General features: G+C 43.8%; 1 protein-coding gene across 18 annotated transcripts in view, besides 7 other annotated features; it reads left to right on the top strand.

Annotated features, from left to right (window-relative positions):
• Positions 7,624-8,249: an enhancer, noted in NCBI's record as "NANOG-H3K27ac-H3K4me1 hESC enhancer chr14:21737705-21738330 (GRCh37/hg19 assembly coordinates)". NCBI's record gives its function as "activates a minimal SCP1, AML or CMV promoter by ChIP-STARR-seq in primed H9 embryonic stem cells {active_cell/tissue: H9 hESC(primed)}" and the evidence as "EXISTENCE:reporter gene assay evidence [ECO:0000049][PMID:30033119]".
• Positions 7,624-8,262: a biological region, named in NCBI's record as "NANOG-H3K27ac-H3K4me1 hESC enhancer GRCh37_chr14:21737705-21738330".
• Positions 8,183-8,262: a silencer, noted in NCBI's record as "silent region_5582". NCBI's record gives its function as "represses an Ori minimal core promoter by ATAC-STARR-seq in GM12878 lymphoblastoid cells {active_cell/tissue: GM12878}" and the evidence as "EXISTENCE:reporter gene assay evidence [ECO:0000049][PMID:35858748]".
• Positions 8,250-8,874: an enhancer, noted in NCBI's record as "NANOG-H3K27ac-H3K4me1 hESC enhancer chr14:21737080-21737704 (GRCh37/hg19 assembly coordinates)". NCBI's record gives its function as "activates a minimal SCP1, AML or CMV promoter by ChIP-STARR-seq in primed H9 embryonic stem cells {active_cell/tissue: H9 hESC(primed)}" and the evidence as "EXISTENCE:reporter gene assay evidence [ECO:0000049][PMID:30033119]".
• Positions 8,353-8,612: an enhancer, noted in NCBI's record as "active region_8100". NCBI's record gives its function as "activates an Ori minimal core promoter by ATAC-STARR-seq in GM12878 lymphoblastoid cells {active_cell/tissue: GM12878}" and the evidence as "EXISTENCE:reporter gene assay evidence [ECO:0000049][PMID:35858748]".
• HNRNPC (heterogeneous nuclear ribonucleoprotein C) overlaps positions 8,353-15,866 on the top strand; it is a 60,296-nt gene continuing 52,782 nt past the window's right edge. For 4 of the 18 annotated variants that reach the window (NM_004500.4, NM_031314.3, XM_011536712.3 and 1 more), the window contains exons 1-2: positions 8,353-8,497; positions 14,459-14,484. The gene's annotated coding sequence lies outside the window, so the exon portion shown is untranslated. Of the gene's footprint in view, positions 8,498-9,126; positions 11,403-12,246; positions 15,202-15,866 lie in introns of all 18 variants that reach the window. The other 14 variants (XM_006720125.4, XM_011536710.3, XM_017021253.3 and 11 more) reach the window with 9 other exon arrangements.
• Positions 10,374-10,953: an enhancer, noted in NCBI's record as "H3K27ac hESC enhancer chr14:21735001-21735580 (GRCh37/hg19 assembly coordinates)". NCBI's record gives its function as "activates a minimal SCP1, AML or CMV promoter by ChIP-STARR-seq in primed H9 embryonic stem cells {active_cell/tissue: H9 hESC(primed)}" and the evidence as "EXISTENCE:reporter gene assay evidence [ECO:0000049][PMID:30033119]".
• Positions 10,954-11,534: an enhancer, noted in NCBI's record as "H3K27ac-H3K4me1 hESC enhancer chr14:21734420-21735000 (GRCh37/hg19 assembly coordinates)". NCBI's record gives its function as "activates a minimal SCP1, AML or CMV promoter by ChIP-STARR-seq in primed H9 embryonic stem cells {active_cell/tissue: H9 hESC(primed)}" and the evidence as "EXISTENCE:reporter gene assay evidence [ECO:0000049][PMID:30033119]".

Raw genomic sequence — 15,866 nt, 5'->3', positions numbered from 1 at the left:
AGCTACTCACCAGGCTGAGGCAGTGAGAATCACTTGAACCCCAGAGGCGGAGGTTGCAGTGAGCCGAGACTGCACCATTGCACTCCAGCCTGGGCAACAAGAGCAAAACTCCATCTCAAAAAAAAACAAAAAGAAATTTCAGTCATTGGCCAGGCTTGGTGGCTCACACCTGTAATCCCAGAACTTTGGGAGGCCGAAGTGGGTGGATCACCTAAGGTCAGGAGTTTGAAACCAGCCTGGCCAACATGGTGAAACCCTGTCTCTACTAAAGATACAAAAACAATTAGCTGCGCGTGGTTGTGAGTGCCTGTAATCCCAGCTACTCTGGAGGCTGAAGCAGGAGAATCACTTGAACCGGGGAGGCGGAGGTTGCAGTGAGCCGAGATTGCGCCACTGCACTCCAGCCTGGGCGACAGAGCAGAACTCTGTCTCAAAAAAAAAAAAAAAAAACAGAAATTTCAGGTCAGGTGCTGTGGCTCATGCCTATAATCCCTGCACTTTGGGAGGCCGAGGTGGGCGAATCATGGAGGTGGAGGTTGCAGTGAACCGAGATCTTGCCACTGCACCCCAGCCTGGGCAACGAAGCGAGACTCCAGCTCAAAAAAAAAAAAAAAAAGTTAAAATACAAAGGTCCCCTGAGGCCTGGCATGGTGGCTCGCATCTGTAATCCTAGCACTTTGGGAGGTTAAGGCAGCCAATGACTTGAGGCCAGGAATTCAAGACCAGCCTGACCAACATGGCAGAATCTGTCTTACTAAAAATACAAAGAAATTAGCCAGACGTGGTGGCGCATACTTGTAATCCCAGCTATCCGGGAGGGTGAGGTGGGAAGATGGATTAGATCCGGGCAGTGGAGGGTGCGGTGAGCCGAGATGGCGCCACTGCAATCCAGCCTGGGCAACAGAGGGAGACCCTGTAAAAAAAAAAAAAAAAAAAAAAAGGCCAGGTGCGGTGGCTCACTCCTGTAATCCCAGCACTTTGGGAGGTTGAGGCGAGTGGACCATGATGTCAGGAGATTGAGACCATCCTGGCCAACATGGTGAAACCCCGTCTCTACTAAAAATACAAAAATTAGCTGGGCTTGGTGGTGCCTGCCTATAATCCCAGCTACTCAGGAGGCTGAGGAAGTAGATTAGCTTGCACCAGGGAGTCGGAGGTTGCAGTGTGTGGAGATGGCACCACTGCACTCCAGCCTGGCGACAGGGCAAGACTCCATCTCAAAAACAAAAGAAAAACCAAACAAGCCAGGTGCAGTGGCTCACTCCTGTAATCCCAACAGTTTGGGAGGCAGAGGCGGGTGGATCACTTGAGGTCAGGAGTTCGAGACCAGCCGGGACAACATGGCGAAAACCCGTCTCTACTGAAAATACAGGCCAGGCGCGGTGGCTCACGCCTGTAATCCCAGCACTTTGGGAGGCCGAGACGGGTGGATCACAAGGTCAGGAGATCCAGACCATCCTGGCTAACACCGTGAAACCCCGTCTCTACTAAAAATACAAAAAATTAGCCGGGCGCGGTGGCAGGCGCCTGTAGTCCCAGCTACTCGGGAGGCTGAGGCAGGAGAATGGCGTGAACCTGGGTGGTGGAGCTTGCAGTGAGCCGAGATCGCGCCACTGCACTCCAGCCTGGGCGACAGAGCGAGACTCCATCTCAAAAAAAAACAAAACAAAAATTAGCTGAGCGTGGTGGCGCACTCCTGTATTTCCAGCATCTGGAGGCTGAGGCAGGAGAATCACTTGAACCTGGGAGAGGGAGGCTGCAGTGAGCCCAGATCGCACCTCTGCACTCCAGCCTGGGCTACAGAGGGAGACTCCCTCTCAAAAAAAAAAAAAAAAAAAAAAAAAAGGAAAAGACCCTGCATAAATTTTATATTTGAAAATGTGGGCCAGATAGTTCACATAGTATTTTTATGCCATCTAGATTTGCTCAAGAGCTCAGTTTGTACCATAATAGTAAAATAAGCACTGACAATGAAATGTGACCTTTGTCAACTAAAAAAGCATTTTGTAAGTTGTACAAAGATTAGCTTAATGAAAAATTACCAGAGGATAAAATCCTGTGCTTCAGAGCCAGAATGAGAACAGATGGCAAATACGTTAAAGAAGGCTTAACCTACAGGAAGCCAGATTTAGGTCACTGCTGAGATGAAAATTAGCAGAGGAACAAAGAAGACAAAGGAAAAGTAGGAGAAAAACATTAAGTAGAAAGTGAAAAGAGAAATTGAAGAAACAAGAAAGAAATTAGAAGTTTATATGTTCCTTTTTTCAGAAATGAGGTCTCACTATGTTGTTCAGGCTGGAGTGCAGTGGCTGCTCACAGACACAATCATAGCATACTGCCAGGAACTCCGGGGGTCAAGGGATTCTCCTGCCTCAGCCTCCTGAGTGGCTGCGACTACAGGCACCCACTACCATGCCCCACTATTTTTCATTAAAAAAAAATATTTTGGCCGGGCGTGGTGGCTCACGCCTATAACCCCAGCACTTTGGGAGGCCGAGGTGGGCATACCACGAGGTCAGGAGTTTGAGACCGCTTGGCCAACATGGTGAAACCCCATCTCTACTAAAAATACAAAAATTAGCTGGGCATGATGGCACAAGCCTATAGTCCCAGCTACTTGGGAGGCTGAGGCAGGAGAATCGCTTGAACCTGGGAGGTGGAAGCTGCAGTGAGCCGAGATCGTGCCACTGCACTCCAGCCTGGCGACTGAGCGATACTCTGTCTCAAAAAAAAAAAAAAAAAAAATTTAAGAGATGTTGCCCAAGCTGGAGGATGTTTTTAAAATAAAGTCACTTATTTTCAAATATCTTCTGAAGGGGCTTGAAGTCTCTATTATATAGGTCTCATAGCACCTTCTTACTTATTTTCAGTAGCACTCACAATTTAGTATAAACAATTAATTGAGTAATTATCCATTTAATATTTGATTCTGTTCTGAAGGGCAGGGCCATGTCTGTTTTGTTTACTTCTATGCTCTTGTGGCATCAGCTAATTACATAGTACGTTTAACAAGTATTGTTGAGTGAATGGGTAGGATTTTCCCACCTTGGCATACATTACATTATTAATAATAGTGTAATGGTTATTTGCATATCCTCTAGAACTAGACCTCCTAGCATTAGAATCTTTTTTTTTTCTCTTTTTGAGACACGGTCTTGCTGCTGGTAGCTAAATCCTGGTCTCCAGGGATCCTCCTGCCTCAGCCTCCTGAGTAGCTGGGATTACAGGCTTCCGAGTGTCTAGCTATAGTGTCAGAATCTTGCACCACCAAAAACTAGTTGTGTGACCTTAGGCAAATTACTTAACCTTTCTGTGCTTTCATTTCTACATCTTTAAAATGGGGATAATAAAATTATCAAATGAGCTAATTCATGTGAAACACTTAGAAAAGTGCTTTACACATGGTATCTGCTCAGTAAATTTTTATTTTTACTATTAATATTTAATATAAGGGTAGTCAATAATACTTAGAAGCAAATATTACTTGATTTCAAAACCACGAATGGATGTCATAATCCAGACTTTATCTTTCCTTCTTTTTTTTTTTTTTTTCCACTCTGTTGCCAGGCTGGAGTGCAGTGGTGCAATCTCGGCTCACTGCAACCTCCGCCTCCCAGGTTCAAGCGATTCTCGTGCCTCAGCCTCCCAAGTAGCTGGGATTACAGGCATGCGCCACCATATCCAGCTAATTTTTGTATTTTTAGTAGGGACGGGGTTTCACCATGTTGGCCAGGATGGTCTCCGTCTCCTGACCTCGTGATCTTCCTGCCTTGGCCTCCCAAAGTGTTGGGATTATGGGTGTGAGCCACCGCGCCCAGCTATCTCTCCCAGTTCTAAAGCTTTGTGGACAAGGATTTTTTTTTTTTTTTAATTTTCGAGACGGAGTCTTGCTCTGTCCCTTAGTCTAGAGTGCAGTGGCATGATCTTGGCTCACTGCAACCTCCACCTCCCAGGTTCAAATGAATCTCCTGCCTCAGCCTTCCGAATAGCTGGGATTACAAGTGCGCGTCACGTCTGGCTAATTTTTGTATTTTAAGAAAAGACAGGGTTTCATCATGTTGGCCAGGCTGGTCTCGAACTCCCCGACCTCAGGTGATCCGCCCAACTCGGCCTCCCAAAGTGCTGGGATTACAGGCATGGCCCGCCACACTTGGACTGTGATCAAAGATTTTTTTTGCCTGTTTGTTCATATTATTTATTTATTTTTTGGAGATGGAGTCTCAATCTGTCGCCCAGGCTGGAGTGCAATGGCGCAATCTCAGCTCACTGCAACTTCCACCCCACTGGGTTCAAGTGATTCTCCTGCCTCAGCCTCCCAAGTAGCTGGGGTTACAGGCGCCTGCCACCACGCCCAGCTAATTTTTTGTATTTTTAGCAGAGATAGGGTTTCACCATGTTGGCCAGGCTGGTCTCGAACTCCTGACCTCAGGTGATCCACCCACCTCGCCTCCCAGAGTGCTGGGACTATAGGCGTAAGCCACCGCTCCAGAGATTGCAATGAGCTGTGATCGTGCCACTTCACTCCAGCCTGGGGGAAAGAGTGAAACTCCATCCCCACCCCCACCCCCCAAAAATAAATAAATAAAATAATAAAATAATTGATATATGATACTGAAAAACTGGAAACAACTTCAATGTCTTGAAGAGGGGATTGGTTTTTAAAAATGATATTGGGGACGGGCTTGGTGGCTCAAGCCTGTAATCCCAGCACTTTGGAAGGCCGAGGTGGGTGGATCACCTAAGGTCAGGAGTTCAAGACCAGCCTGGCCAACATGGTAAAACCCCGTCTCTACTAAAAATACAAAAATTAGCCCGGCGTGGTCGTGGGCGACTGTAATCCCAGCTACTCGGGAGGCTGAGGCAGAAGAATCGCTTGAACGTGGGAGGCGGAGGTTGCAGTGAGCCAAGATCACGCCACTGCACGTCAGCCTGGGTGACAGAGCAAGATTCGGTCTCAGGAAAAAAAAAAAAAGATATTAACCGGGTGCGGTGGTTCAGGCCTGTAATCCCAGCACTTTGGGAGGTGTGTCGGGCAGACTGCTTGAGCACAGGAGTTCAAGACCATCCTGGCCAACGTGGCAAAACTACATCTTTACTAAAAATACAAAAATTAGCCAGGCATGGTGGCGGATGCCTGTAGTCCCAGCTACTCAGGAGGCTGAGGCATGAGAATCGTTTGAACCTGGGAGGCAGAGGCTGCAGTGAGCCGAGATCGCCCCGTTGCACTCCACCCTGGCCAACAAGAGCGAAATTCCATCTCAAAAAAAAAAAAAAAAGTATAAAGCAGTGTTAGCTAAAACGAGAGAGCTCTATAAAATTTTATTTTATTTTATTTTATTTTTGAGACAGTTTTGTTTACTTAAGTCAAGAGGCCAGACGTGGGTCAGCCTGTAATCCCAGCACTTTGGGAGGCCCAGGCCGGTGGATTGCTTGAGCACAGGAATTTGAGACCAGCCTGGGCAAGACGGTGAAACCCCATCTCCACAAAAATTAGAAAACTTAGTGAGTCTGGTGGCACACGCCTGTAGTCCCAGCTACTCAGGAGGCTGAGGTGGGAGGATCTCTTGAGCCCAGGAGATCGAGGTTGCAGTGAGCCTTGATGGTGCTACTGCACTCCAGACTGGGCGACAGAGTGAGATCCTGTCTCAAATAATAGTAATAATAATAACATAAATTACATGTCAACCAGACCCGACAGACTCCAGGCCTCTCTGAGTAAGTGCTACATAAAACATACAACAAACAAAAGACAGGGCCTGGCGCAGTGGCTCACGCCTGTAATCCCAGCACTTTGGGAGGCTGAGGCAGGAGGATCACGAGGTCAGGAGATCGAGACCATCCTGGCTAACACGGTGAAACCCCGTCTCTACTAAAAATACAAAAAAAATTTAGCCGGGCGCGGTGGCGGGCGCCTGTAGTCCCAGCTCCTCGGGAGGCTGAGTGAGGTAGGAGAATGACCTGAACCCGGCGAGGCGGAGCTTTCAGTGAGAGCCGAGATTGCGCCGCTCCATTCCAGCCTGGGCGACAGAACAATACTCTGTCTCAAAAAAAAAAGAAGAAAAGAAAGAAAAGACAGGGCTGGCATGGTGCCTCCCAGCATTTTGGGAGGCCAAGGAGGGAGGAATGCTTGAGCCCAGGAGTTCAAAACTAGCCTGGGCAACATGGTAAGACGCTGTCTCTACAAAATATAAAAATAAAATTAGCCAATGTGGTGGTGCACACCTGTGGTCTCAGCTACTCCAGAGGCTGAGGTGGGAGGATTGCTTGCGACTGGGTGGTTGAAGCTGTAATCATCCGGGATTATGCCAATGCACTACAGCCTGGGCAACAGAACAAGACCTCATCTCAAAAGAAAGAGAGAGAAAAAAAGGACAGTCTATCTGCTTGTCCTGGAAAAATAAAAATTTCCCCTGATAAATAAAAGTTAATGGTTAATATTTTATTAATTTATTAATAGGTAGTAAACAAGGAAAATATATTGAAGAGTAAGAATTAAACTCTGCCATCAAAAAATCTTACCATCCAGGAAGGGAGAGGAGTGTAAAACTACCCACAGTGCTACGAGATAATTTTAAATAAATTGCAATGTGGCAATTGAGTCGAGGCTTTAAGCACTCGTAGGATATTCTCCCTCTGATTACTTGCTCAAAGTAGATGATTTGGAAAATATAGAAAAGTACAATAAGATTTTAAGGCTGGGCGCGGTGGGTCACGCCTGTAATCCCAGCACTTAGGAAGGCTGAGGCGGGCGGATCACGAGGTCAAGAGATGGAGACCATCCTGGCCAACATGGTGAAACCCCGTCTCTACTAAAAATACAAAAATTAGCTGGGCGTGGTGGCACGCACCTGTAGTTCCAGCTACTCGGGAGGCTGAGGCAGGAGAATCGCTTGAACCTAGGAGGCGGAGGTTGCAGTGAGCCAAGATGGCGCCACTACACTCCAGGCTGGTGACAAAGCGAGACTCCGTTTGAAAAAAAAAAAGTTAAAAAAAAAAATCACATGTAATTTTCCCACCAGGAGAGAACCACTACTAACACTTTAGTGTATACTTTCTCCCATATTTTTCGTCTTTGCTTTTTAAAATAGTTTAAAGTGGTCTGGCGTGGTGGCTCACGCCTATAATCTTATCACTTTGGGAGGCAGAGGCGGGCGGATCACCTGAACAGTCTGGCCAACATGGCGAAACCCCATCTGTACTAAAAATACAAAAATTAGCTGGACATGGTGGCGCGCACCTGTAGTTCCAGCTACTCAGGAGGCTGAGGCAGGAAAATCGCTTGAACCCGGGAGGCGGAGGTTGCAGTGAGCCAAGATCGCGCCACTGCACTCCAGCCTGGGCGACAGTGACTCTGCCTCAAAAAAAAAAAAAAAAAAAAAAAAAAAAGAAAAGAAAAAAGAAACCGCTGGCTTAGTAGAGCTGATGCTACCCCACTGCGTGCGCAGTTCCTATAATGTAACCAGAGAGACTGGCAGGTGACGGGGGTAGGTAGGAGACAAGCCATTTCAAGAGGAGGGAAATTAAGGGACCAGATTTGGAAGGATGGGCCAATTTTGCTGGCACTTAAGATATTAGATGCCCTGGGGCCAGAGGCCAGGATTCTGCACTTCCTTTTTATATTGGAGAGGAATAAGGAAGTCAGTTGGTTTCGATGGAACATGTGTTGTCTGAAGAAGGGTTTAATAGGCCAAGAAGCAGATGTCTACGAGGTAGCTGACATTCGAATCTGGAACTGAGAAAGGGTCTGGGGTTGGAAAAACTGCAGGACTGGTTAGTTTTCTACACACTTTAACAAGGCCTAGTCACTGCTGCTCCCTCCTCATTTTAAGAAAAGTCCTTTCTTTATTCACATTGCACAACGGAGGCTTCATTTCGCGCTTTTTTTTCCCTAGGCCCGGGGCTGGGGCAGGTCTTTTGCGCCCGTCACCTAACTACGCCCCTCAACCCTTTCCCCGCCCCCGCGCAGCCGGAAATCCGAGGTCTGGGCGGATCTTCTACTAGGCACTCTAAGGGGCAGCGATAGGACGCCGCGGCCGCCAATCAGGCCTCCCAGATACCCGGATGTGAGACGGTGCGCGATACAAAGGCGAGTTTCCACCCAGAGGGTCGTCCCGTGCAATAGCCAATAAGCATTCTCCAGGCAATAAATGACAGGAAAACTAACCAGTTATAAACTAGTTTCTCTCACGCATGTGGAAATTCGCCTGCTTAGTCTAACCCACTGCTAATTGTGATTGGATATCATTGTGAGGAGCGGTTGAACTGTCTAATTAGGAGCGGGAGCGAAAAAACGCACAGCCAATAGGAAGATTCTCAGGAATGGGGCGGGGACTAGGCCTTCGCCTCGGCGGCAGAGGAGACTCGGGGGCCATTTTGTGAAGAGACGAAGACTGAGCGGTTGTGGCCGCGTTGCCGACCTCCAGCAGCAGTCGGCTTCTCTACGCAGAACCCGGGAGTAGGAGACTCAGAATCGAATCTCTTCTCCCTCCCCTTCTTGGTAAGTGGAGAGGGCGGACGCAGGGAAGGCGCTGGGTTTTTCGGGAAGCGAGAGGGGGTGTGGGAGAGAAGATGTGGGAATCCTTCCCCCTAACTAACCGGGCCCTCATTTATTCTGCTTGTTTTGGGGGATTAGGTTGAAGCCGGGGGCAGTTTTATAGGCCTCAGCCTCTGTATAGGTTTAACCTGGTGTCCTCTAGGCCACGATCGCCAGGGAAAATGTCCTTTTTTCGCTCTTCCTGTGTTAACGGCTGCTTTCCTTTCATTTTCTACGACCGCGAGGACTACGGGATCATGAAAATGAAGATCGTGATGCTCATTAATATAGTCGAAGTTAACGTAGCGCCGATGCCTTCTATTACCTCCGTTCTTCTTACATGTAAAAAGTGGGGGAGGGGAAGGGGGAAGGTTACCAAGTAGATGTATCGCGAGCCTTTAAATCCTGGATCGTGCCGCGTGGCCTACGAGAAAGGTTTAACAAAAGATTCAGCATTTTACTGATAACTTTTTATTTTATTTCTCTCTATGAGCAAATGATGGAGCTCGAAGTAGTTATTTTCACTTACATTTGTAAAAGGAAATATTGTGATATAACTATATTAATATTTACAGCTGACTTTTCATCTGCAGGTTACAAAACACTTGAAATATATAAGTTAGTGGAACTTTGCTTGAGGTAGGTATTAACTCTCTTTCTCAGACGGAAACTGAGGCAGAAAAGTGTTGGTTGCTAGGGTCATATTAAGTCAGTAGCAGCACTAGTAAGGAATTTGACCACGAGGTCAGTCGAGTGGTTTTTACCTAGTTAATGGAATACCTAGTTAATATAGTTCTAAAACTACTGTATTGCAATCTTTGCCAAGAACCTGATGACGGAAACCACGAGGTAACTGGAAATTCCCAAATTGCGCTTAAGAAAAATACTACGAGACTTGAGAATTTTTTAACGTAACTTCCTAAGTGTAAGATGACAAAATTTGACTTTCGGGATATTCTGGCGTTAATTTTCCCGTCCGCCTAAATGTGGGCAAAAATTCACAGCTACGTTATATTAAGCAAATATTAACAGTGCCTATTATTTGCTGGGTGCTGAAATTTGATAAAAAACTTAAAAGTTAAAAAAAATTGTTTAGATCTTTAGTGTCACATTGACTTATCTGGGACATCGCTTTTTTTAATCCTCACATGAGATTTGGCTAAGTTTATTTTTCACAATCTGTTAATCTCACAAAAACTAAAGCTGTTAAGCACAGTTTAAACCCATTCTGCAGGGTAAGAAATTCATCTGTAAGGCAATCTATTTGATAGGAAGTAAAATAAGGGTCAAAAACATCGCGACCCCTTTCTTAAGGCTTAAACATGTATATTATTACAGGAACTTAAAACTAAAGTTTATCATTGTGCTGAACTGTTAGAAATGAGGTTAGGGTAAAAATGGGAAATCATGAAGTAAAAATGTTGGCAAGGAGAAATGTCAGAAATTAGTATTTAAGAACTGTTAATAGTAGTTGAAATTGATTGACGGGCACTTTTCTTTGAGGTTTTCGAAAATGGGTTCCTTCCGGTCAGTATGTATATCAGCGCACCAAAAATTCTTTGAGTTAATATCCGAAACTGTTTGCCACGGTATTTATATCACAATTCTAGGTGTGTTCTCAACTAGATAGGCGTTTAGTAACATTTTCATATTGGCTAGGGGGAAAAGTTGAAGAAGGATGGCCAGGTTGCAGGTTTTCTGACCTTTTTTTTCCCCCTCATGCTAGTGCCACTCTCGGGAATACTTGGTGGTTGATGTTCCTTCTGTAGAGAATTTAAACAGCTTACGTTTGTAATTAAATCTCTAGAGGATTTGACATGGCATTCGACCTTGTTTTGGATGGAATGGCTGTGCGAAACAAGCAAAGAATAAACTCCAAAATAGCTAGTTGCTCTAATTTTAAAGACTAAGGGGCAAATTATTAAATCTTAATAAAGTGTTGAATGTGAGAGGTGTTGGCTGGGGAGTAAGTTTGCCTAGGAGTTAGGAGAAATAGATTTTAATCCTCCTTAGGCAAATAAGGGGACTTAGACTTTTTTTTAAAACCTATTTGAATTTTTAGTTTCTAATTCAAATTTTTTGTTGCCAGAAGCCTAAAAACTGTACAGATTGAGTTTTATTAAAAGCAGTTTTGTTTTTTTTTTTTTTTTTTTTTTTTTTTTTTTTGAGACGGAGTCTCGCTCTGTCGCCCTAGGCTGGAGTGCATGTCGTGGCACAATCTCGGTTCACTGCAACCTCCGCCTCCCGGGTTCAAGCGATTCTCCTGCCTCGGCTTCCCGAGTAGCTGGGATTACAGGCGTGTGCCACCGCACCGGGCTAATTTTTATATTTTTAGTAGAGACGGGGTTTCACCGTGTTGGCCAGGCTGGTCTCGAACTCCTGAGCTCAGGGAGTCCTCCTGCCTTGGCCTCCCAAGGTGCTGGTATTACAGGCGTGAGCCACCGCACCCGGCCCCGGTTTTCTAAATTGGTAGTTATTATTACTATTCTTAACCACATTATTTCAGTCTTCAAGTACTTTATTAGTAGTTGTCTCTGGGGAGCATTATTTGCTCTTAATATGCATATTCATGTATTCTCATTGGAAATGGGAAGGTTTTGGTTTTGTGCATACTAGATTTACTAGAGGATTGGTGAGAACCAGAACTTTGAGGTGTAGCATAACTACAGGTATTCTCGATATTGGAAATTTTGAGTTTATTAACATAAAAGGAAAAAAGGTTTCTTTGGTACATTTACTATCATAGGTTATGTGTTTTTGGATTTATTTATATTGTATCAGGAAAACATTATTTGGTGCTCTAACTTGATTCTGTCACAGTACACTGGAAGGTCAGGCATTTTGTTTAAAGAATTGATTCTAAGGCCGGGTGTGGCTGCTCATGCCTGTAATCCCAGCACTTTGGGAGGCTGAGGCGGGTGGATCACGAGGTCAGGAGTTTGAGACCAGCCTGGCCAACATGGTGAAACCCCCATCTCTACTGAAAATAAAATTAGCTTGGCGTGCTGGCGCTCGCCTGTAGTCCCAGCTACTCGGGAGGCTGAGGCAGGAGAATCGCTTGAACCTGGGAGGTGGAGGTTGCAGTGAGCCATCGCACCACTGCACTCCAGCCTGGGCGACAGAGTGAGACCCCATCTCAAAAAAATGATAATAATTGATTCTAAACTGGGGAATAGAGAGATTCCCAATTTAAAATCTTCACAGTGGTTCTCAAACGTTAGCCAACACCAGAATCAATAGGGCTAGTTAAAACAGATTGCTATGATCTCTACCACAAGGGTTTCTAATTAAGTAAGTCTGGGGTGGGCCCTGAGAGTTTGCACTTCTAGTAAGTTCCAGGTGATGATGCTCATGCATCACTCATTCTGAGAGGTGCCCCTTTAGAAGAAGGGATCCAAACCTCAGGCAGGTTTTGACAAAGAATAACCTAGAGATACTTTTTTTCTAAAACTATCTCTGAGCTTTAGGTAAGGATACTTTTTTTCTTTGAGAGCCTCACACTGTCACCCAGATTAGAGTGCAGTAGTGTCATCTCAGCTCACTGCACCCTCTGCCTCCCGGGCTCAAGGGGTGCCCTCAGCCTGCTGAGTAGTGCTGCTAATTTTTTGTATTTTTGGTAGAGGCAGGGTTTCGCCATGTTGCCAGGCTGGCCTTGAATTCCTGAGCTCAGGTGATCCACCCGCCCCAAGCCTCCCAGAGTGCTGGGATTACAGGTGTGAGCCACGCCGCCTGGCCTCAAGGAATATTCTTGATTGAAAATGGTGCTAAAGTTGGTCTTTTTATGAGTGGTAGCTCTTCAGTTTAACATAAATAACATCTTGGGAGATACTGAGCTTTTTGATATTGAAAGATAGAATTGGTTTCTTTTCACATTTTTCTTTATTTTTAAGCTTATGTCTTGTGGCACCTGTACAAAGGACTTGGTTGTGGTTGAGCTATAAAGTTATGTATCTTGAAAATTGATTACCAGGTTTGGGCTGTGGCTCCAAATAAGAAAATGAAATGTTTCACCATAACTGTATTTCATAAACAGGAAAAGAACATTCAGATGTATATTTCTTACAATTCTTCACAAACTTTTTCCGCAATTTGTACATTCATACAGTTTTCACACATCAAATGTAAAAATTAACTGTCATTCCTACACTGTTCTTTTTAAAAATGTATGGTACTTGTTGCTGCTGTAGTCATTCATGTATAGTTGGCTCAAGGAACACTTCTAAAAGCTCAATTAAAAATTTTTTTTTTGAGACAGGGTCTCTCTCTGGCCTGGCTGAAGTGCAGTGGCGTGATCAGAGCTCACTGCAGCCTCGAACTCCTGGGCTCAAGTGATCCTCGCTCCTCAGACTGCTAAGTAGCTGGGATTTCAGGCTACCACACCCTGCTAATGTTTTTTGTTTTTAATAAAGTCTCGTCATGTTTCCCAGGCTGGTCTCAAACTACTGAGCTCAAGCCGTGCTCTACCCTGGCCTCCCAAAGTGTTGGGATTACAGGTGTGAGCCACCACACTTGGCCTTAAAATATTTTAATTTCCTCAAATTTACAAAGGAGAATAAGACCTCATGGCTAAATTGAACAGTGAGTGCAGCTAGTTCATTGTTTGCACAAGGAACTACAGTCTAATTGCAGTTCCTATTTTAGCTGATGAAACAACCAGTTTGTCATGGAAATTATTTTAGTGTGGTATTATGTACCAGATTTTTAGAATCCATAACTTGAAATTAGCTTTACACGCTACATAGTAAATAGTGGACTACAGAAACAAAAGTATTAACATAAGGACCTTAATTTTTTTCACCTATTTTATGACCTTAAATATTCAGTATTTTTTTAATTCCATCTGTATTTTCGTTTTGTCAGTGAGTGGAATAATGTGCTCCTTATTTAAAACATCTTTTCCCCTAACAGTAGAACCTATTAGGTCTTGTGGTTTGATCACTCACTGGTTTTGAGAATAGATGAGTCATCTCTAGTATAGATCTTCATGGTAGGCCATTCACCTTCAGTCTATTACTCATAGCAAAAACTCCACGGACTTTTTTAAGTTTAAAACCCATGAATCTGCTTAGGTTTTATAATCTCAGTATTTGACATTTGCTCACTATTTCATCTCTATTTGTTGGCCCGGTTTTTCTGTATTTTCTTTGCCCAAACTGCTCATTATCAAGATGAACATTTGGGATATACTCTTTTTGAGACCCTCAAGGGCATATTGACATGAATTTAGTTAATTTTAGTCATCTATTGATGTTGAAGAATTGTGAAGACAGTCACTGGTAGAGGTGATTCTATGGAGGCTATCCCATCCCAGTGGAATGTTAATGCTTTACCAAAATGTGTTAGCTGCAGTAGACAGATGTTTCTGTCTTGGGGGTTTAGGGCACAACATTTCTGAGGAACTCTGACTCAATCTGTCCCTTCTCCTTTCACAGGGCAGCAAGGCGAACCCCATCCCTACTCACTGGAGCTCAGCTTTGATTTTTAACCTCCCTTCCCCACCCTTCCAGAACACACACATTCCATTCCAAAACTGATTTTATAAAGACATTTTAAACATAATGATGCAACTTGGTGTGCACTACAGCAAATGTACAGGTGTTTTTTTTTTAATTGTTTCCAAAACCGGGACCTGGATTTAAGATGTAATTTTTAAAATTTCTATTTCTATTTTTTCTGCAGCAGTTGGGTTAGAGGAGGAGGAGCCTTTTAGCCTCTCATAAACTGACCTCTCTACTTCCTCGTGTATTTTTAAGATTGATTGATGATGTGGAAAGGGCTTTGCTTGTCTGCTACTGAAAACTTTATCCTTGCGGTTTTTGTGGAAACTGCTTTTGGAAAGAGAAAAGAAATGAACTTTACTGACTTGACATTTTTGCACCTCCCGTTTTTCTAATCTGGGCTATTTTTATTTTTGTTTTTTTACAGTGAGATTTTTTTGATCTTCAGCTACAGTAAGTTATTCCAATTTTTTTTTAACATTTTTCCTGACTTTCCGCTGATTTCCTTTTTATTGTTGTTACTAGTTACTATTACTTATTATTATTATATTAATACTTATGATGGTGATGATGATGATGATAATGACACTGATGATTTTTAACCGGATTAAAATCGAGTTTTTCTGAATGTTTCTAAGAATTTCTCCGGCCTCCTGATTGACTTTGGAGTTTTGCATCTTGGGAGAGAAAGCGAAGGCATTAGTATTTTTAAGTGGTTTGATCACGTAAACCTTTTCTCTCCCAACCCCACCCTTGCCCTCATCCCCTTCCCCACACTGAAAAGAATTTTACTGGCTGTTAAGTCTATGACCTTATTTTTCCTGATCTTTAACTTAACTGTTTTAGAGCATCTCTGGACGTCTGTATTTTTAATTTTTTTTATTTTTGTTTTTTTATTTTTAATCTTTCATTTGTTAAATTTTTAAACTGTGCTGCAATAAAATGTGTGTGGTACTACTTAACACTTATGATCGTGATGGCATTTTCCCTGAAAGCCATCTTCCTCCTGTTTCCCTTGAAATCCCATCCTGCTTTTCCTGTACACTACCCCTCACAAACCACAAGCTGCAGCAACATGGATGCCCAGCCTGGAGCAGCAGCAGCCAGGATGACCTGGAGCCAGGGGGGCCTTCGGAACAGATGCACACCCTTCCTGGGTGATGGTAAGAGGTGTGAGGTCCACTTGGATTCATTACAAAGACTAGGAAATAAACCCGTTTAACAGTTTAGCTGATGTGTATAGGTCATAGCATCTGGAAGTGTTTGAAACTTTTGTGTGTGCATCTTGAGGTGTTTCCCAAGGGGGACCACCTCAGTTATTTGTAAACTAATGGAATAATATGAGTTGCTAATTAACTTGGGCTGATTAGAACATTTTGGATACTTGGAAAGAGCAGCTGAAGTTTAAAATGAAAGTGGCTTGTTTTAATGATTAGCAACAAGAAAACATATTGGGGAGTCCCTTTTTTTAGATTGTTACAAATCAGTAAACATTTTCTGTCATTTAACATATTCCTTGGGTTTGTGACATTTTTGGATTATATTCTATTTAGACTTTTTATCTCATTAATATTTCACAAGAGTCAAACCATAGGAGATACAACATAATATTAAAATGCTGTCTCACTGGAGGGCTTTTAAAAATTTGAAAAAAGGTAGGCTTTTTGACCTCACAAAGCAGGGAAATCTGTTTAACCTCTACATCCAAATTAGGAACTGTCTAAGGCTGACCCCTTTTACAGTGGTGACTCAAGACCCAGCTAGATTTTGGGAATTCTAATGTGAATTCATAGAGTTCTAATGCTAGATTAGGAACTCTAATGTGTTCTGATGTT

Source organism: Homo sapiens, chromosome 14, assembly GCF_000001405.40.
Source record: "Homo sapiens chromosome 14, GRCh38.p14 Primary Assembly".
In the NCBI taxonomy this organism is placed as follows: Eukaryota; Metazoa; Chordata; class Mammalia; order Primates; family Hominidae; genus Homo; species Homo sapiens.
The sequence above is the reverse complement of the archived record's forward strand: the minus strand, read 5'-3'. Positions and strand labels throughout refer to the sequence as shown.